General features: G+C 38.6%; 1 long non-coding RNA gene and 1 pseudogene across 1 annotated transcript in view, besides 1 other annotated feature; both read left to right on the top strand.

Annotated features, from left to right (window-relative positions):
* The window catches only part of G2E3-AS1 (G2E3 antisense RNA 1), a 139,366-nt gene that overhangs the window by 18,230 nt on the left and 98,459 nt on the right, over positions 1 to 22,677 (top strand). The window lies entirely within an intron of this gene.
* Positions 115 to 304: an enhancer, noted in NCBI's record as "active region_8224". NCBI's record gives its function as "activates an Ori minimal core promoter by ATAC-STARR-seq in GM12878 lymphoblastoid cells {active_cell/tissue: GM12878}" and the evidence as "EXISTENCE:reporter gene assay evidence [ECO:0000049][PMID:35858748]".
* SYF2P1 (SYF2 pre-mRNA splicing factor pseudogene 1) lies at positions 16,940 to 17,378 on the top strand (annotated as a pseudogene).

Below are 22,677 nucleotides of genomic sequence, written 5' to 3'. Positions count from 1 at the left end.
CGGTCGGCCCCGCCCTCGAGGGGTGGGACCCGCGGAGGCGCTGGCTGTGGGGAAGGGCCCGTGTGCTCCCGCCCTTCTGGCGCTCCTGCGCTGCTGCTCGGTGCTAACCTGGCTGTGTCGCCTTCGCTTGTTTGTTTTGTCGGGTCTCTCTCCCTATTTAGGAGCTCAGAAAAACTCCGGGCGCGGGGTCATTGTTTCCGCCTATTTGCTCTTGAGGGGATCCTCTTTTTTCCAAAATGGACAGAGATGTGCTGAAGTTTCGTCACCTTCGAGGAATGGGGCGAATGAAAGCACGAACGGAGGCAGGAGGGTTTTATCTTTCCCTTCATCCTCGAGGAAACAGCAGCAGCAGCAAGAAGGAAAAAAACAAACCCTCCAAGTACTTAGTGCAGCCTTTCCTGGGCCTCTCAGTCCTATCCCGGCACAGTCAGGGCTTTTAATTTATTTCTGTCCTGGGTTTAGGGAAAACAAAAAGCCAAGTTCACCCGTATTCAGCCAAAAGTTGAAAATAAGTGGTCGGACCAATTCCTGGTCTCAAATAAACTATTTGATGGTGTTAGAAGGCAATAAATTTTATTTCCCCCCTCAGATAAGGGCTCACTTTACGAGATTATTAAGTATTGTCCCGTGAGATTATTGAAACAACAGTATCTTTTCCTTTATCGAGGACCACAGTATGTCTTTGATCCAAAACGTCTTAAGCTTCTGAAGAGACATCTGGGAGCTTCCAGAAACTAAAGGAAGGACTGGAAATGCTAGGGGGTGAGGGGCGCTAAATAACTCTGACCTTTATGGCTGTGATTGATGTTGCCACCAGATCATCCTCACATCTAATAACATTGAATTACCTAAACGGATCAGTACAAACCAAACCATGACAGCATACCTTTAGCCTTTGTCAAAAATACAGTTTGAGGGCCGGGCGCGGTGGCTCACGCCTGTAATCCCAGCACTTTGGTAGGCCGAGGCGGGTGGATCACGAGGTCAGGAGATCGAGACCATCCTGGCTAACATGGTGAAACCCCGTCTCTACTAAATGTACAAAAAATTAGCTGGGCGTGATGGCAGGCGCCTGTAGTCCCAGCTACTCGGGAGGCTGAGGCAGGAGAATGGTGTGAACCCGGGAGACGGAGCTTGCAGTGAGCAGAAATTGCGCCACTGCACTCCAGCCTGGGCGACAGAGCGAGGCTCTGTCTCAAAAAAAAAAAAAAAAAAAAAAAAAAAATACAGTTTGAAAGGTTTACTAGATTTCTGAGAACCTATGCTACAGGTAATCTGACACAGGGGGTGTGTAAAGCTATTAACTGATGTACTGTTTTTAACAGTGGAAGATAGAAAATAATCTGTGTCTACAAATAAGGAAGGGGTTAAATACATGTAAGTTATGATACTTTAGCATCTGATATACTGACGCTGCGGGCACTAAAAGTAATGAAGTAGATCAGCGGGTACTGAAATGAAATACTGAAAAAGTTTAAGAAGGACTGTAGTATCCTTGTTTGAAAGTATGTGTGTGTATATGGTATACAAAGTTTTGGGATGGATACCTAAGCTGTAAACATCTCTGGGAGCGGGCTGGTAAATAAGAGTAGGAAGAGATGGAGAACTTTTACCTTTCACTTTATCACCAGTTGAATTTTTAAGATAATAAACTTTTTTTTTAATTTTGCAATTTTGTTCTTTAAGGAAGATTGCTAGAAATTGAATACATTCTAGATACAAAATCAGGTTTAATGAGCGTATAAATTTCTAATGTTTGGATAGTCTATGTCCATTCATTCATTCAACAGTTCTTTCTACAATTACATATAATGATTTGACCACACATTTTGTCATTCATGATATAGTGTATTATTTTATGTTTACATATCTAATATGACCCCGTTAAATATATTGCTCCTTGAAGTTTCTTGAAGGCAGAAACTATGTTATATATTTTCCTATGTCTTTCATAATTCTTGGCACCTTCCCACCATTCTTATCCTTCACAGGAATTAAATTCTCAAGTTGACCTGTATACAAAAGTTAAAAATGCCCTGGAAAAGCCACCCAAAAGATTATATATATATATATGATTTTCTTTATACAACTCTATGAGCAAGGTTTTGTGTTTTTTTTTTTTTTTTTCAGTTTGTCCCCTGAGTTCTCCTTGGTCAGTTCTTCTCTACAACCCTTAATTAATTCTTCAATTTCTTCCGCTAAAATGTTGTCAAAGTCATTATCACCCCGCAGCCTGGCCATCACTTGGAATAATGAGATTCAGTTCTCATCAGTGGTGGAGAGCCCTGTAAAGTCATTCACATTTTTTTCCATAAGATTAGCCAGGCTTAATTGTATTAATTGTCTAGGGTTGGTGTTCACTGAATGGACTATCTGGTTATCTGTACTAATTAAAATGTTGTTCTTTTTTTTTCACCCAGAGTGAGTATAGGTGATTTTGAATACAAACAATATTCAAGTAATGTTACAGCATTTTGTGAACAAAAAAGATCTTCAATAAATACCCACTGACTAAATCAAAGAGCCTGAGTACATACAACTTAAGGACTTCTTTGAGACGGAGTCTCTCTCTGTCGCCCAGGCTGGAATGCAGTGGCGTGATCTCTGCTCACTGCAAGCTCCGCCTCCTGAGTTTATGCCATTCTCCTGCCTCAGCCTCCCAAAGTGCTGGGATTACAGGCGTGAGCCACCGCGCCCGGCCACAATTTAAGGACTTTTGAAAGAAAATATTCATTGCAGGACGTACTTAAATCTAACAAACCTGGCCATCAGACCAGGCATTCTGAGAGCTTATAAACATTTTAAATTGAGTGAAATTGATATAAGTATTCCACTTAATACATGCTGCAAAAAATGAAGAATAAAATTAAGAATTTTATTCAGTCTCTGATAATCCCTCAGTAATGTGAACTAGCTGAGAACTGAATTCTTAGAAAATTTTAGTCATAGCTAATGTAACCTCTCTTTCCTGCTTTCCTCTTCCTATTCAATCCACATACAGCAGAAAACAAAACAAAAACACTCCTGGGACCAAGGGTCATCAATTTTACATGGAAGAAACAACATAAACTGCTTTGGCAGAAGAATTCCTATAATCTACTCTAAAAGGTTTTTACCACAACCAACATGAGTAACAGAAATGATAAAATGCGTAGAAATAAATTTTAAAGAAAATTCACAAAATCAAATTAGAATTCAATTTAATTTAAAATAATTTTTAAATTTTAAATACAGTTTTAAAGAAATTTTCTTTAAAGAAAGATATAGAACCTGCTACTTTAAAATATAATTTGAGAACATAAGTGATTTCAATGTTCATATAGGAAAATTAATATGTAAGAATTGTTAAGACATATTAGAAAAAGAAAACAGAGGTCAGGAGTAGACAATTTGTCTTACTAGAGAGTAAAAACTTACCACAAAGCTGCTACAAAGAGTAGCCAAAAAAAAAAATCAGACAAAAAATATAGTATTAGCACAAAAAAGAAAAAGAGAATCCAGAAAAATGAAACTATATAGAGAATATTAATATATTATAAAGGTGATATTTCCTTTTCAGGAAAAGGATGGGTTCATTCATAAATTAACAAGAACTGGAAATAACTGGCCAGCTATATGGAAGATATAAAGTTAGGCCTGTACCTTTTATCATATACCAAAATAAATTCTAGAAACATTAAAGATTGAAATTTTAAAAAATAAAACAAAAGTATATTGGGGAGAAGTTTAGAACGGTAACTGTGACTTTAGGGTAGAAGAGACTTCTCAAACAAGGCAGGGCCAGGTGCAGTAGCTCTTGCCTGTAATCCTCGCACTTTGAGAAAGCCAAGGCGGGAAGAGCACTTCAAGCCAGGAGTTTGAGACCAGCCTGGGCAACATAGTGAGACTGCTGGCTCTACGAAAAACAATTTTTTAAAAAATTTAGCTGGGTGTGGTGGTGTGCACCTGTAGTCCCAGCTACTCAGGAGGCTGAGGTGGGAGGATCCCTTGAGCCCAAGAGTTGGAGGTTGCAGTGAGCTGTTGCACCACTGCACTCCAGCCTGGGTGACAGAGCAAGACCGGAATCCTAGAAACCATAAAATAAAAGATGAGTATGTTTCATTATGTTAAAGTTTAAAATATTTGAACAGCAAAAGTCACCATGACACATTGAAAGATAAATGAGGGACAATGATAAAATATTTATAAAACATAGGACACTAGGTTAACAATTCTAATGTAAAAACTTTTATAATTTTTTTCAAAAAGCAATAAAAATGGGCAGAAGAAATGAACAAGTAATTCATTGAAAAGGAAATGAAAGAGGACAAGACACAGAAAATACTCAACTGTACTACCTCACTTTTGGGAATACAAATCAACCAACCAAATACCAAGTTTATTGGATTAGCAAAAATTAAAACAATTCACAATATCCCACACTGGGAGAGTGTGGTGGTAAAATGTACACTCTTTTTTTTTTTTTTTTTTTGAGACAGAGTCTTGCTCTGTCACCCAGGCTGGAGTGCAGTGGCGCGATCTTGGAGCTTGCATTTGGTATATGATAAAAGGTACAGGCCTAACTTTATATCTTCCATATAGCTGGAGTGCAGTGGCGTATCACTGCAACCTCCACCTCCCAGATTTAAGCAATTCTCCTGCCTCAGCCTCCTGAGTAGCTGGGATTACAGGCATGTGCCACCATGCCAGGCTAATTTTTGTATTTTTCTAGTAGAGATGGAGGTTTCCCCATGTTGGTCAGGCTGGTCTTGAACTCCTGACCTCGTAATCTGCCCGCCTCGGCCTCCCAAAGTGCTAGGATTACAGGCGTGAGCCACTGCGCCCGGCCAAATGTACACTCTTATCCACAGGAGCATACATTGCTACAGCTCTTGGAAAGTAACTCAGGCTTTTCTCAACTTTGGGATTCTCCTATAGAAATAAGCATGCTAGTGCTTTTTGAAGCACTACTTACAGTGGCTGCTAACTGGAAACAACTATAAAGAGGAAGATAATTGAATGAGTTAGGGTACATCCATCCTGTTAGGAGGCCATCCAAAGTTGTGTTGCTTTGCCCCCTAAACCATTGCCTCCAGAGTTAGGGCTATTGAACCCCCAAAGACATGCAAATAAGAAGGTATGGTATTCTTTAATTAGAGAAATAACAATGCTATCTTATACTGTAAAGCTGATAAACCTGGCACTCATTCTTAAATTAGCGCCCACTAGAATTAGTATACACTTTTGGACTAAATTGTCCTTTACAGGAACTCATTCCTCCTCTGTGTTAGCCATATTGAACTTCTGGTAACCCTTCCTGCCTTTCAGATGAATCAGATTTTTGTTTTACCCTCAGCCACTACCCACATTTGAAGCAAATACTTGACTCATACTTAAGGCAGATCCATCCCTGAATGTCTGTTCACTTTTCTTTTATCTTCCACCTTGAGGATAAATTTCTAGCTTTCTCTCTAGCCTGTCTCCTCAGCAATACCGATTAATATTCTGCCTGGTATCTGATAACCCCTCACTTATCTGTTGCCTTGATTAGAGACCATCCCTGAGATCTTAGAATGAAAGTTTTTAATTAAGTTTTCTGTGACTCAGAGCCCTAATAGAGTCATACTATAAGAAGTGTACTTTGAGGCCGGGTGCAGTGGCTCACACCTGCATTTTATGTGGCTCACATAAAATATGTCACAATCAGCTACTCAGAATACAGGCCACTGTAGGACTCTATTCCCAAACTTCTACTTCACTAACCTCTAACAAGAATGTAAAAGCATGAAATAGAGGTAATTCTCTTCTCTCCAGGTGACTTTATATCTTAATCATTCCTACTGTACTCATGATCTTGTTACTGCTCCCGTATTTACCTCAGGTTTGTTTTTTACTTCCTCCTTTAATGGTCTTTTTTTCTTCTTCCCCTCTCTGTGCTCACTGTCCTTATCTGTTACTTAGGCTTCCTCTATGATTCTCAGCAATATTTGAATACTTTGGAATATACTTAGTATTTCTAATTATGGCATTAATGCTACAAAATTTTCATCCCATGATTCCAAAATAAATTAGCCTATATTATCATTATTATTACTATTAATTGTTGAGACAGGATCATGTTCTGTCACTCAGGTTGCAAGTGCAGGGATATGATCATGGCTCACTGCAGTCTCAACCACCTGGGCTCAAGTGATCCTCTCATTTCAGCTTTTCAAGTAGCTGGGGCCACAGGCACGCACTGCTATGCCCAGCTAATTTTTTTTTTTTTTAATTTTTGTAGAGATGGGGGAATCTCGCTATTTTGCCCAGGCTGGTCTTGAACTCCTGGGTTCAAGTGATCCTCCTGCCTCAGCCTTCAAAAGTGCTGAGATTACGGGTGTGAACCACTGCCCCCAGCCATAGCCCATATTGTTGATCATCTCTTGTGTTGAAGACATAATGATAATATCATACGAAATAAGTACATGACCATTATTAGTGTATGACTCCATGATTAATAATAATTTGCCAAGCTTCTGCTATGCTGTCAGCAGTGCTAATATGTTTCTGAATGGAGTTGTATTCATTTTCTCAAGCAGAAAGGGCTTGATGCCTGATGCACTAAAAGCCAATATACAATGACTCTGGGCTGTTGGGAAAAGAAAAGCTTTTTGTTATATGTCAACTCACAAGAAGACAGGAGTCCAGCTCAAAGCCGTCTCTCTGTGTTGGCTTTACTTTTATTAGAAAAGGTTTAGGGGGTGATTCTGAGACTAGTAGGTGATTGGTGGAAGAAAAGGGGAGGTCTGGAAAGTCCTCAGGCACGCCCAGTTATCCCTTTGTGCCTCCTCATGGGTCACAGGTGCAAATTTAGGGGGACTTAATATGAAATGTGGTAGAAATTCAGGCTGTGACATCAACAAATTTGCTCTGCGCAAACTCCAGTTGGCCACATTGTTTCCAACAGTTCAGTTCATTGTTTCATCCAGTTTTTTAAAATCCCTCAAGTAGAGGGAGTTTCAGCTTTTCGGCAAGTTGTTTCCTTTTATTATTGACTAACCTTCAAATTCAAGAATGTCTGTTAGTTATTGGTTTCTTTAACTCTTTGGAGCACAGTTTCATTCATGTGTTTACTAATATGTTTCTTACATTCATTTGCGTGACCAGTCTTTTTATATCAATTTTTGAACTTGAATTAAGATACATTTTTGGGAAAGTATGTTGTCTGCTATCAAACAGAAGTCTTTTCTTCATTGTCTATTTACTTGGATCTTTTGATCTAAAGTGTTCATCTAACTGCTGTTCAGTCTCTTGTAAGTTAAACACACCTCCTCCTGGCAGCAGGAAGCAGCATCCAAAACAGCGAATTTCAGGTCTTTTGTTTCAGGGTTGTTTGGATAATAAGTAGCTATACAGTAACCACAGTGATTTGGATTGACATCATGCCTGCTGGGTAACTGTATGGATTTTACAAAGGACTCAAAGTTTGCTTGTAGCCAATATGAGACATGTGTTTTAATATAGGTCAAAGATGTGGTATGTTTATGTTAACATTACTCCTCTCTAAGTTGGTGTTTCAAACAAATGATTGTCTGGATTGCTTTTTAAAATTGCTGTCTTTTGGCCTGAAGTGTTTACATAGAAATCAGAGCCTCTTTACAGTTAAGAGTAACTCCAAATGCAGGAACACACATTGGTAATGCCACCCAGAATAAATCAAGTAATGAACAACATGCTTGAACTGAATCTTTAACATTCTTGGATACAATTGCTGGCAATCAAAACTGTTTTCAGTTTGTGTACTTTGATTTTTTAATCCCTCCCAGAATACTTGCGGAAAATGACTCCGCAACTGAATTGATAAAGTGACTCAGTTATAATAAGCCCAATCCTTACCTGAGTGTTTTGTTGGGGGTGAAAGAAAACTTCAAATTCTCACAAAGGTCTAGGGCACAGAATCATCACTTAGGAAGCAGGCACTTGCTCAAAGTTTAGCTTCAACACTTAGGGCCATTCTTTAGGAAACATTTTTCAAGGATAGTAAGTAGTGCAATGTTAAGAGGCGAACCTGAAAGCAAAACAGGCTGAGGTTTAAATACTAGCCGTTTTACTTACTAGCTAAGTATGAAGTACCCAATCCTTTGAGCTTCACTACACATTAATCAGATGTAAATAATAACTACCTGACAGGTTTCTTGTGAGCTCTAAGTGAGAGGACATTTAATGGTAATTATAATTAGGCAAATGGGTAAGACATACAGTTAACATCCCCTTCCTTCTCCTTTCAATGGCATCTGGCATTCCATGCCCAGTATCCTTAGGCTTGTGAGCCACTGAAAGGCACAAAGGAACTCTCCTCCCAGGTGGATCTTAGCCTCATATTCCTTTTCTCTGCCCTTCAGAACATATGATACATTCCTTAGTGACCTGCTGTCTACTTTCCACCTTGGTAGTGATTTGAGTTAATCCATGTTTATAGAAAGAGCTAATAAACTAGCTCTAATAGGTCATATTTGTAGCTGAAATAGTGAGAATTTCAGGGCAGTTTGATGTAATGTTTGCTATTTAACCCCTGTACAATTTTTTAAATTGTTTGGGTTTGCAAGTCTAGTATCTCCAAGTTGACTCACTTCTTAGGTATTGTACAGTAATAGATATTAAACTTTAGCCTTCCCACAGTGGTCATAATGGGGCAATGAGTCTTCCTGTAGGTGAGGTTAACTAATAAAAGGTATATGATTGGAAAAACATAAAAGGAACTAACATTTGTTTAATGCTTTCTACATTCAAAACACTGTGCTAAAACTAAATGTTGATTTACTTAATCTTGACAAAGTAGGTGATGAAACTAGGGCTTAATAAGATTAAATAATTTGTCCAAGGCCACAGTAGGCAGAACTGGTATTTTAACTATAGCTTGTTTGGTTGGACACAAAGCTTGTTCATTTTCCATTACAATATTTCAATTCACACACCCAGCAGAGATAGGAGCAGTGATAAGAAACCTAATATTAATCTAAAACAATTAGCTAATAGCAAAGTTTTTTTTTGTGAGAAATTTGCTTGTTCATCTATAGAACTGTAGGACGTTAGTTTAATAAAGAACCTCAGATATCATCTAGTATTAGGTAGAAGCTTTGTTAATATTAGTACAGAGACGACTTTTTAGTACTAGACTGAAGGATGAATTAGATCAACAATTTTCAAAATGTGGTTCATGAGGTCAAACTATCTTCAAAATAATACTAAGACCGTTTGCCTTTTCACTTATATTCTCTCACAAGTGTACAATAGAGTTTTCCAGAGGCTGCATGGGGTGTGATATTGCAACAGACTGAATGCAGAAACTGATATGAAAATCCAGTGATTTTCTTTTTCTTTTCTTCTTTTTTTTTTGAAATGGAGTCTCACTCTGCCACCCAGGCTGGAGTGCGGCAGCGTGATCTGAGCTCACTGCAACCTCCGCCTCCCGGGTTTCAGTGATTCTCCTGCCTCAGCCTCCCTGGTAGTTGGGACTACAGGCACCCACCACCACACCCCGCTAATTTTTTTGTATTTTTAGTAGAGACAGGGTTTCACCGTGTTAGCCAGGATGGTCTCGATCTCCTGACCTTGTGATCTGCCTGCCTTGACCTCTCAAAGTGCTGGGATTACAGGCATGAGCCACTGTGCCCAGCCAATCCAGTGATTTTATATTAAATTATCCACCAGAGAGATTTATATAAAGGTAAAACAATGCCATTCTTCTCACTAAATTATTTTTGTTTTAGAAAACACAAATATTTATGTTAGCATGTAGTTTCATAACGTTATTTTAAATAACAGTCCCACCCTTCAGCCCAATAGTGGGCAGCTGTGAATATGTTTCTGGAGCAGCTTGCACACAGCTTGCAGGAACCAGAACAGGCAAAAAGGACCATGTCCTAAAAATATTGGGGATCTGTGCTGTGATCATTGATTGCTGCATCTGATCACAGAGGTATAGAAAAAGAGGTGGTGGTCATTACGGTTGCACTAACCCCCATTGTTGCAAACCCTCCCACTCCTCTGGCTAAAGTAATATCCAGGAGATTTAAAGAGGCAGAGCCTTTTCTCTCCTGTTATTTTTCTCTGTCTCCCCTTATGGAAGTAAGACATTGAAGACTAGGACATTCAAAAGCAACTGCATATGTAAGGAAAACTAGAAAGTCACCACACACGCCCAGGTGAAGGTGCAGGCTCAGCAAAGACCAGAGAAGGCCTTAAGTTTAAACCTCAGGCTGATCCTCAGCACAGACACAACCTATAACAATAACAGCAACAAAAATAATAATAAAACCCAAAACACCAGCAAAACCTAGGGAAGGGAGAGAACCTGATTTCCAAAGGTACGACATTATTAGATGCAAATATACAGTTTTCAACAACAACAAAAAAATCACAAAGCATACAAAGAAACAGGAAAGTATGGTCTTTTCAAAAGGAAAAAAACAATAAACTATCTTTGAAAAAGACTGGATGGCAGATCTACTAGACAGACAAAGACTTTAAAACAACTGTCTTAAAGATGCTCAAAGAACTAAAGGAAGAAATGACAGTCAACAAAATGATGTCTGAACAAAATGGAAAAATCATTAAAGAAATAAAAAGCCTAAAAAGAAAAAAATCGTGGAGCTGAAAATTATAGTAACTGAAATGAAAAAAATCACTAGAAGTATTCAAAGGCAGATTTGGGCAGGCAGGAGAAAGAATCAGTGAACTTGAAAATAGAACAATGAAAATTACTGAGTTTGAGAAACAGAAAGAAAAAGATTGAAGAAAACGGAACTGAGCCCAAGAGACCTATGTGACACCATAAAGCTAAACAACACAGGCATTATGGTATTCCTAGAAAAAGAAGAGAAAGAAAAAGAGAGAATATCTGAAAAAGTAGTGGCTAAAAACTTCCCAAATTTGATGGACGATATGAATATAAACATCCAAGAAGCTCAACAAGCTCAATGTGTGATGAACTCAGAGACCCACACCAAGATATTATCATCAAAATATTGGAAGACAAACACAAAGAGAATTTTGAAAGCTGCAAGAGAGAAGTGACTTGTCACAAGGGGTCATAATGAGAGGTGACAACGTGCTGGTGGCCCTCGCTCGCTCTCAGCGCCTCCTCAGCCTCTGCGTCTGCTCTGGCCACGCTTGAGGAGCCCTTTAGCCCTCCGCTGCACTGTCGGAGCCCCTCTCTGGGCTGGCCGAGGCTGGAGCCGACTCCCTCTGCTTGCAGGGAGGTGTGGAGGGAGAGGTGTGGGCGGGAATCCGGGCTGCGCACAGCTCTGGCGGACCAATGCGAGTTCCGGGTGGGCGTAGGCTCGGCAGGCCCCACACTCAGAGCCTCCGGCCGGCACTGCCAGCCCTGGGCAGTGAGGGGCTTAGCACCCGGGCCAGTAGCTGCAGACAGGGTGCCGGGTACCCCAGCACTAATGGCCCACCCGCGCTGCACTCGAATTCTCACTGGGTCTCAGCTGCCTCCCCGCAGGGCAGGGCTCAGACCTGCAGCCCACCATGCCTAAGCCCCCCCTGCCACCCGCACCCCGTAGTGGGCTCCCGTGGGGCCCGAGCCTCCCAGAGGGGCGCCGTCCCTTGCTCCGCCGCACCCGGTTCCATTGACCGCCCAAGGGCTGAGGAGTGCAGGCGTGCAGTGCGGGACTGGTAGGCAGTTCCGCCTTCAGCCCTGGGGCGGGATCCACTAGGCGAAGCCAGCTGGGCTCCTGAGTCCAGTGGTGACTTGGAGAACTTTTATGTCTAGCTGGAGGGTTGTATATGCACCAATCGGCACTCTGTGTCTAGCTCGGGGCTCGTGGATGCACCAATCAGCACTCTGTATCTAGCTAATCTGGTGGGGACTTGGAGAACCTATGTCTAGCTAAAGGATTGTGAATACACCAATCAGCACTCTGTATCTAGCTCAAGGTTTGTAAACACACCCATCAGCACCCTGTCTCTAGCTCAAGGTTTGTAAACGCACCAATCAATGCTCTGTGTCTAGCTACTCTAGTGGAGACTTGGAGAACCTTTATGTCTAGCTAAAGGATTGTAAATACACCAATCAGCACTCTGTTTCTAGCTTAAGGTTTGTAAACACACCAATCAGCACTCTGTGTCTAGCTCAAGGTTTGTAAACACACCAATCAGCACCCTGTGTCTAGCTCAAGGTTTGTAAACGCACCAATCAGCACCCTGTGTCTAGCTCAAGGTTTGTAAACTCACCAGTCGGTGCTCTGTGTCAAGTTAATCTGGTGAGGACTTGGAGAACTTTTATGTCTAGCTAGAGGATTGTAAATGCACCAATCAGCACTCTGTGTCTAGCTCAGGGATTGTAAATGCACCAATCAGCACCCTGTCAAAACGGAACAATCAGCTCTCTGTAAAACGGACTAATCATCTGTCTGTAAAATGGACCAATCAGCTCTGTGTAAAATGGACCAATCAGCAGGATGTGAGTGGGGCCAGAGAAGGGAATAAAAGCAGGCTGCCTGAGCCAGCAGCGGCAACCAGCTAGGGTCCCCTTCCACACTGTGGGAGCTTTGTTCTGTCACTCTTTGGAATAAATCTTGCTGATGCTCACTCTTTGGATCAGCACTGCGTTTATGGGCTGTAACATTTACTGAAAAGGTCTGCACCTTCACTCCTGAGGCCAGCGAGATCACGAGGCCACTGGGAGGAATGAACAACTCCAGATGCTCCACCTTAAGAGCTGTAACACTCACTGCGAAGGTCTGCAGTTTCACTCCTGAAGCCAGCGAGACCATGAACCCACCAGAAGGAAGAAACTCCGAACACGTCTGAACATCAGAAGGAACAAACTCTGGACACACCATCTTTAAGAACCGTAACACTCACTGTGAGGGTCCCCGGCTTCATTCTTGAAGTCGGTGAGACCAAGAACCCACCAATTCTGGACACAATAAGATTAACAGCAGATTTATCGTCAGATACTTTGGAGGCCAGAAGACAATGCACTTATGTTTTTTAAGTACTAAAAGAAAAAAAATTGTCAAATCAAAATTGCATTATAAAACCTAGTATTATAAAAATAATGTGTAACTGTTTTTTCTAAATGGTTTAAAAGACTGATACATTTAAAAATAAACAAGTATTAGTCTAAAAGCTGTTACGATAATCATGTTTTGCAACTCCATGCTTTATTCTCTGTGTAATTTAAGACACTGATGTGTTAGAAAGTTATTAGCTTATGTTTTTGGACAGTGTATAAAAATATAAGTTTATGACATTGACAATCAAAAGGGTTGGGGATAGAGCTGTTAGAGAAGTAGTGTATGTTATTAAAGTTAATCTGCTATAAATTCAAATTAGAGTGTTATAACTTTAGGGTGTTATGTAATCCCATGGTAACCACAAGAAAATAACTGAAGAATGTATACAAAATGATATGAGAAATTTAAACATTTCACTACAAAATATCAACTCAATACAAAAGACAGTAATGCAGGAAATGGACAAAAAAGCTATAAGGCATGTAGAAAACAAATAGCAAAATAAAGGAATAAGTCTTTCCTTATCAATGATTATTCCAAATGTAAGTGGATTAAATTCTCCAGTCAAAAGACAGAGATAGGCAGAATGGACCAAAAAAAAAAAAAAAAAAAAAACATGATCCAACTATATACTGTCTCTAAAAGACTCACTTTAGATTCAAAGACACAAATAGGTTAACAGTGAAAGGATGGAAAGGGTTGTTCTATGCAAATAGTAACAAAAGGAGAATGGTAGTATCTAAACTAATATTAGAATGACTAAAATTAAACGGACTGATTATATCAAATGTTAGCAAGGATATAGAGGAGCTGGAATTCTCATACATTGTGTGGGAATGTAAAATGATATGAACACTTTTGAAAATAGTTCACTAGTTTCTTAAAATGTTAAATACACGTTTACCTTATAATCCTGTCATTCCAGCAAAGACTTGCATACATATGTTCATAGCAACTTTGTAAATAACCAAAAATGGAAAATGCCTAACAACTGATAAATGTATAAACAATACAATACATATTACAATAAATTAACTATTGATACACAATATTTCAAGAATGAATCTTAAAATAATTATGCTTAGTGAAAGTCAGAAAAAATACATACTGTATAGTTTCACTTACGTAAGATTCTAGAAAATACAAACTAATTTATAATGATAGAAAGTAGATATGTGGTTGCCCGGGGATTGGGTGGGGAATGGGGAGAAGTTACAAAGGAGCACAAGGAAATTTGGGGGAGTAATGTATATATTCAGTGTCTTGATTATACATGGTGATGGTTTCATAGGTGCTTACGTATGTCAAAACTTATCAAATTGTACTATTAAATATATATGACTTATTTTAAGTCAATTATACATCAATAACATTGCTAGAAAAAATAGAGGAGAAGATTTTTAGGTAACTAGCTACATTTGTCTCTTATTAGTTACAAACTTGGTAGCTCATAACACCACACATTTATTTTCTTATAGTCTGGAGGCTAGAAGGCAATCAATTTCTTTTGTTTCTTTTGTTTGTTTGTTTGATATGGAGTCTCGCTCTGTCGCCCAGGCTGGAGTGTAGGGGGCGCGATCTCAGCTCACTGCAACCTACACCTCCCAGGTTCAAGTGGTTCTCCTGCCTCAGCCTCTCGAGTAGCTGGGACTACAGGCGGGTGCCACCACGCCCAGCTAATTTTTGTATTTTTAGTAGAGACAGGGTTTCACCATGTTGGCCAGGCTGGTCTCCAAATCCTGACCTCAGGTGATCCACCCGCCTCGGCCTCCCAAAGTGCTGAGATTACAACAGGCGTGAACCACCAGGCCCGGCCAGCCCCAGTCAGTTTCCCTAGGTTCAAGTCAAAGTATTGGCAGGGCTTGTTCCTCCTAGAAGCTTTAAGGGAGAATCAGTTTCCTTGCCTTCTCCAGCTTCTAGAGCTGCATTCCTTGGCTTATGGTCCCTTCTTTCATCTTTAAAGCCAGCAGCATTATCACCTTCGAAATTCTGTTTCCATTATCACATGGAATTTTCCTCTTCTGTTTCAATTCTTCCTCTGCCTTCCTCTTCAGAAAGATATTTTTGAATATTAGTTCTTTTTGGAATTAAGCCTTCCTCAAACCAGTAAAAAAAACAAAAACAAACAAAAAAAACAGCAGACCATTGGGTCTTTGGGATTCTGTTTCATTTTTGCCCTTAAATCACCTCTCAACTGAATAATTTTGTTTATGTCAAATTGCATCAAATGGCCACCCTAATTCTAAATTATACTCGGTGAAATTATGCCATACAGATAATTTAGCACACAAATTTGTTACAGCATAAATACATGTAAAAACTAGGAGCCAACCCAGAGTTGTTGCAAATATAGGTTTAGACTGAGAAAAAGCCCTAAAGTTGAAAGTATTGCTTATATATGTCATGAATCATTTCCCCAGCCTAATGGCTATGCCATCTCTATCTGTAAATCTCACTAATTTGCAGCTTCTGTATAACAAGTTTTAATAAAAGCTCTCACCAAACCAGGCATCCACAGACAAAAGAGCAAAACAAAAGACTCAGGAAAATTTACATTAAGTTTTAAGTGACACGAGGAAGAGTTTGTCTAAAGAATGCCTATACATTTCAGTCCTCAGGTCCAGCTTGTGAAAACAGACATTTATTGGGGCCTGTACCCATTCTTTCCCTAGGAACATTCTCCTTAAGGGCATGTTACAAAGACATATTTGACAAGGACAAAGACAAGTAATGTTATTAGTACAAAGGCAGATTTCCACCAAGATAAAAGTTACTTTATCAGATAATGAAAAGATTCCTAAAACTAGTTCCTAAGTACTGGGAGGCAAAAATAAAGCTGAGATTTTTTCAACAAAAAGTATTCAGAGCTTGGCCCATTGCAATATTTACCTCCCTGTTATGGTCAGAGATACCCTTTGCCCACCAAATGCGAGGCTTAAACGATTTCTGAAGAGTGTACTGTCCAGAGCCTTGGGGCCATCATGAAGAGCCTTGGAGCCCTTCATTGGTTCTTGGTAAAACCTATAAGATCATTGAATTCGGCCTCCCTGAAAAGTTCACCAAAATAATCTGTTAGTAAGACAAGGCTGAGTTTATTCTTACTGTGGTGAGGGAGAGCACTACCTTGATAGATATTTTTAGTAACACCTGATAGTGGAGAAGACAAATTCACAATATTTATAAAGTTTTGGAGGATGTTTTAAGGTACTTCTTTTAATATAAAGGCTTGATTAAGATTGGATAAAAATTATGATACAATAGTTTAGGAATTGTGAACCCAGAAAGGCAAGGATTTTGAAGCAAATCTTTGAAGTCTGGGAGTAAATAGTCATTTGATGCTATTTATTAAATAGGTGAAGAGTTTGACATTCATTTAAATGAGTTTTTCAGGGAATTCTTGAGAAGAATAAAATTTTTTGTGTGTAACATAAGAATAGACATATAGATAGTAGAATCAAACTGAGAGTCCAGAAATGCCCTTATATTTATGATCAATAGATTTTTAAAAATTGAATTGAGGTAAATTTCGCATAACATAAAAATCAACTACTTCAAAGTGTACAATTTAATGGCACTTAGTACATTCATAATGTTGTGCAACCATTACCTCTATCTATTTCCAATATATTTTCATCATCCCCAAAGCAAACCCCATAACCATCAAGCATATACTTCCATCCACTTATCCTTATCCACTGAAAACCACTAGTCAGCTTCTTGTCTTTATAGATTTACCTATTCTGGAAGTTTCATAAAAATGGGGTCATATAGTCTGTGATCTTTTGTGCCTGACTTCTTATACTTCATATAATGTTTTGGAGGCTCATCTGCATTGTAGCATGGATCAGTACTTTATTCCTTTTTATTGCTGAATAATGTTCTATTTTTTGAAATGGGATCTTACTATGTTGCCAAGGCTGGTCTTGAACCCGTGGGCTCAAGTGATCCTTCTGAGGTGGGGAAGGAAATAGAAGAGGAAAAACCCTGATCTGGGAATTTCATATTATGCTGCTGCCCAGGTATGCCAGTGCCATGGTCGACGAAACAGATCAAACCTGACATAGAAATTAAAACTAAGAGAAAACTATGGACAGGAGTTCTACCCAATATCCAGCAGCCTTCTTCACGGAATATGTGCCTTCCACAGAGGAAATCGATAGGATGCTCATAGACTGGGAAAAGCAAATTGAAGCATGAGACAAATATAGCTCAAGATGTCCCTATAATAATGATGCAGATATTGACTACATTAATGAAAGGGATGCTAAATTCAGCAAAAAGGTAGAAGGATTCTATGGAAAATATATAAAGCTGAAAAATGTATAAAGCTGAAATTAAACAAAATCTAGAAAGAGGAACAGCCATCTTAATCTCCTTCAGGAACTGTTTTGATTGCCAAATTGTACCAGTAAACCAGGACCCTGTCTGTACCTCTCCTTTAATAAGCTGTAGAGAGATGTTCTATGAATGTCCATGTATTTTCATGCTTACATATTCTTATTATTCACTTATTTTAGCAAAGACTATCTTCTATTTCTGTGTTTAAAGTATGTGTTTAATGTGTGAAACCTCCTGGGCTTAAAATTCTTAGCTACAAATGTATGAGTCATTGTTGTCCTGAAATTTGTCATATATCTGATTTGAGCTGGAGTTGAACTTGGCAGCTTCAGGTGTATGATGCTAAACTGATAGTAATTTTTTCTTGCAAGCTATGGTAGATGGTGAAAGGAGAGCAACAATGGCTATTGGAAATTCACCCTAGGCCCTCCTCTTCTACAGAAATAGTCACAATTACAGGCGCTTGCCTGTTCCATGCTCTACCCCCACAGCCCACGTGCATTTATGTGGGCAAACATAGGGAATAGGAGGCTGATCCTCTAATAGCCTTCCGTAAAATGTCAAAAAGCAAATATCCTTGGAAGAAAGTAAGTTAAAACATTTGGTAGAAGTAGTATTTAAAATATATATAATACAATTTGGCAAGGAAAAAAGCCTAATTGGAGTTTAAACCTTATTTCAACTGTAACTAAAAAATTAGAGCATGAGGCATGTGTAGTAATTATGGGAAATACAGGACAGAAAACCTGAAGTTAGGACTACGCCTTAAAAGTGAAGGATATTTTCTATTTGCATCATTTTTTTTTTAATTTGCGATCTCGGAAAGGCTTTATTTCTACTTCATCATGATTTCATATTGACTCAGAGGCACCATTGTGTGTTTCAATTTGGTATCCTCTTGACTTTTTGCAGTGTTTTTCCTTAAAGAAGAAAATTTTGAGTAAACTCTGTACATTGCAAGTTAATCTTTTGACAATAATTAAAAATGTTGTTGCTGTTGTATCATCAATGCAAGAAGACCAACAATAAAAGTACAGGACAAGGAAATTCACAAGATAATTACAGTAGAACAGACTGAGTCACATTTAGGTGATGGCGAGGACACCGTAGCAGTATATACATCAACCCAAAGATGTGCAAATTGAGTAGAATAATGTATGGATTACACAGTGAATTTTCTAAGCCCATCTGAGGACTTTGTACCTTCTCAAAAATGTCCTGTATCCCCTCCAGTTTACAGAATATCTTTCGTGTCTACTGTGTGCCCTGTTATATAATAAAAGCATGACTGGGATGAATGAGATGCAAAAGTCAGGCATACTAGAAGGAAGCTCTGATTTAGTGAATAATGGACCGTTAAGTAAAGATGGTAATAGAAATGCATATTAATAAAGGTATGTATATTCAATGTATTATTAGTAGAGAAATTATAACATTATGATACATTCATACAATTATAGAATGAGGCAGATCTATATTGACATGAAAAGATGCTTATAATATGTCTATATAAAAAGAGGTTTGTAACTGGGCATGGTAGCACACACCTGTAGTCCTAGCTACTCTGAGGGCTAAGGCAGGAGGATTGCTTGAGCCAAGGAATTGGAAGCTGCAGTGAGCTATGGTGGCACCACAGCATTCTAGTCTGGGCAACAGAATAAGACCCCATCTCTAAAGAAAGATTGTAAAAATTAAAAAAAAAATCACTCAAGGGTACCCATTTTACTTCATTTAATAACGTAAAAGGGTCTGCATTGATATGGTTACATTTCCAGGATCCTCTGTTCTTTAGGGATGGACTAAAAGGCTAGTATCATTGCTTGCAAATGTGTCTCAAACTTGACGGATCATATGTTAAGAAATAAAGTTTACTATCTTTAAATCCTCCCCCCCTCCAAAAAAAAAAAAAAAGAATGATCCTTCCTCCTCAGCATCTTGAGTAGCTGGGATTACAGGCATGTGCCACCGCGCCCAGCTTTGAATAATGTTCTATCATATGGACATATCACAGTTTGTTTATCCATTCTTCAGTTGATAGACACTTGGGTGGTTTCTACCTTTTGGCAATTGTTAATAGTGTTTCTGTGAACATTTGTGTACAAGTATTTGTTGGAATACCTGTTTTTAATTCTTTTGGATATATACCTAGGAGTGGAATTGCTTGATCATATGGTAATGATATGTTACCTTATTAAGGAATCACCAAATTGTTTTTCACAGTGGCTGACCCATTTTACATTCTCACCAGCAATGTTTGAGGGCTCTGATATTCTCTGCATCCTTACTAACACTTGTTTTTGTTTGTTTTTCTTTCTTAAAAAAATTATAGCTATCCTAATTGTGTGAAGCAGTACTTCATTATGGTTTTGATTTGCATTTCCCTAATTGACTAATCATGTTTAGCATCTTTTCATGTGTTTATTGGCCATTTGTATATCTTTAGAAAAATGTCTGTTAAAGTCCTTTGCTCATTTTTATTTTTTTTCTGTTGAGTTGTAAGAATTCTTTACGTATTCTGCATACTTGTAGACTCATATCAAATATATGATTTGCAACTGTTTTCTCCCATTCATTGTTTATTTTTCTCTTTATCATGTGCTTTGATGCATAAAACTTTAAAATTTTGAAGTCCAATTTATTTTTTCTTTCGTTGCTTGTGCTTTTGATGTAATTTCTCAGAATCCATTGCCAAATTCAAGGTGATAAGGATTTATCCCTATTTCTTTTTCATAACAGTTTTATAGTTTTAGCTCCTACATTTAAGTCTTGAGTTTATTCATTTTGAGTAAATTTTTGTAGATGGAACAAGGTGGGGATCAAACTTCATTCTTTTGCATATGGCTATTTAATTGTCCTGATATCTTTGTTGGAGAGACTATTCTTTTTTTTTTTTTTTTTTTTTTTTTTGAGACGGAGTCTCGCTCTGTCGCCCAGGCCGGACTGCGGACTGCAGTGGCGCAATCTCGGCTCACTGCAAGCTCCGCTTCACGGGTTCACGCCATTCTCCTGCCTCAGCCTCCCGAGTAGCTGGGATTACAGGCGCCCGCCACCACGCCCGGCTAATTTTTTGTATTTTTAGTAGAGACGGGGTTTCACCTTGTTAGCCAGGATGGTCTCGATCTCCTGACCTCATGATCCACCCGCCTCGGCCTCCCAAAGTGCTGGGATTACAGGCGTGAGCCACCGCGCCCGGCCTATTCTTTCTTTATTGAGTGGTTTTGTTACTCTTGTCAAATATCAATTAGCTACATATATATAGATTTATTTCTAGACTCTCAGTTCTATTCCATTGATCTATATGTCTATCCTTATGCCAGCACTATACTGTTCAATTATAATAGCTTTGTGTTAAGTTTAGATGTGAGGAAGTATAAGTCTTCCAACTTAATTTTTGTTTAACAAGATTGTGTTAGCTGTTATGGGCAATTGACTTTTGACAAAGGTGCAAAGACAATTCAATGGAGGAAAAAAGAGTCATTTAAATAATTGGTGCTAGAACAATTGGCTATCCACTTGCTAAAGTAATTTGGATGCCTACCATACACTACACACAAAAATTTGGACTCGTATCATACACCACACACAAAAGTTAACTCAAAATGGATCATAGACCTAAATACAGGAGCTAAAATTTTAATGCTCTTAGAAGTAAACATAGGAGTAAATTGTGACCCAGGGTTAGGTAATGATTTCTTAGATTCAATACTAAATCATAGTGATAAAAGAAACATTTGGTAAATTAGACTTCATCAATATTAGAAACATTCATGCTTCAAATGACATGATCAGGAAAGGCAAAAGACAAACCTAGAGGCTGGAAGAAAATATTTCCAAATCACATAATTTGATAAGGGACTTGTATCTGGAATATATTGAGAACTTACAACTTTAGGGGAAGAAAGTCTTTTTCCCTCTGCCCTTCTCTGGCGGTGCCCTGTAAATTAAATGGACAAAAGAGATTAACAAGAGAGAAACAAACAGGAGTTTATTAATATGTGCATTGCACATACACGTGGGAGCATTTAAAGATGAGTAACTCAAAGGGGTGGTTAGAACTTGGGCTTACATAGCATCTTAATGAAAGAAACATACATTTTTAGAGAAGTGACAAAACAAAGCAAAAGGACTTTCAGCTTCTGGGGTGGCAAGTTGTGGGAAGGCAAATATATGGGGAAACTAGTGGTAGATAAGGGCTAGTTTTAGCAAGGTTTGTTAGGCAGATTCCATTGGTGACATCCCTAAGCAGATAAAGGTCTAGAGTTTGTTCTAGCAATTCACTTCTGTATTTCTTGGCAGAGGAAATTACAAATTTATGTCCTGCTTTTCGGTAACTAGGGGAAGAGCAGAGAGCTTTCCTTGTATCTGTTTCTTCTCAATCGCCTTTAGCTCAAAATAATCTTTATGCCAAAATGGTGTAATTTGGGGTGGCAAATTTTGCTATCCTTCACAACTCAACAAGAAAAAGACAAATGATTCAATTTAAAAATAGACAAGGGGTTTACATGGACATTTATCCAAAGAAGATACACAGATTGTCAGTCAGCACATGAAAGGATGCTCAATGTCATTAGGCAGTAGGAAAATGCAAATCAGAACCACAAGAGATCCCATAAGACATATAACCAATAGATGTATATTTTTAAATCCAGAAAATAGCAAGTGTTGATGAAGATGTGGAGAAATGAGGACCCTCATGTATCAACTACTGGGAATGTAAAAATGGTTCAGACTTGTTGGGAAACAGTGTGGTAGTTTCTTCAAGTGTTAAACATAGGAGTTACCACATGACCCAACCATCCAAGGAATCTACCCAAGAGAAATGAGAGTGTGTCTTCACACAGAGACTTGTGCACAAATGTTCATAGTAGCATTAGTCATAATAATCTCAAAGTGAAAACAACCCAAATGTTCATCGACTGATAAATGGATAAACAAAATTTAGTATATCTATAAAGTGGAATACTATTTAACAATGAAAAGTCATGAAGTGCTGATACATGCTTCAACATGGATGAATCTCTAAAACAGTATATTCAGTGAAAGAAGACACAAAAGATCACATATTGTCTGATTCTGCATATATGAAATGTCTAGAATAGGCTAATCTATGGAGACCAAAAGAGATTGATGGTTGCCTCACATTGTTAGAGAGAGATGGGAATTGACTGCAAATGGGCACAAAATTTTTTTGTGGGGTGATCAAAATGTTCTAAAATTATACTGTGGCAATTTTTGCACAAATACTTAATTGTAATAACTATTATTGCCTTCTATATCCAACATGGGTGAGTTTTATGGTATGTTAATTACATCTCAATGAAACTTCTTTTGAAAAATTGTTTGCATCTTTTGT

Source organism: Homo sapiens, chromosome 14, assembly GCF_000001405.40.
Source record: "Homo sapiens chromosome 14, GRCh38.p14 Primary Assembly".
Lineage (NCBI taxonomy): Eukaryota > Metazoa > Chordata > Mammalia > Primates > Hominidae > Homo > Homo sapiens.
Note: the sequence above shows the minus strand (reverse complement) of the source record. Positions and strands in the feature narration are given on the sequence as shown.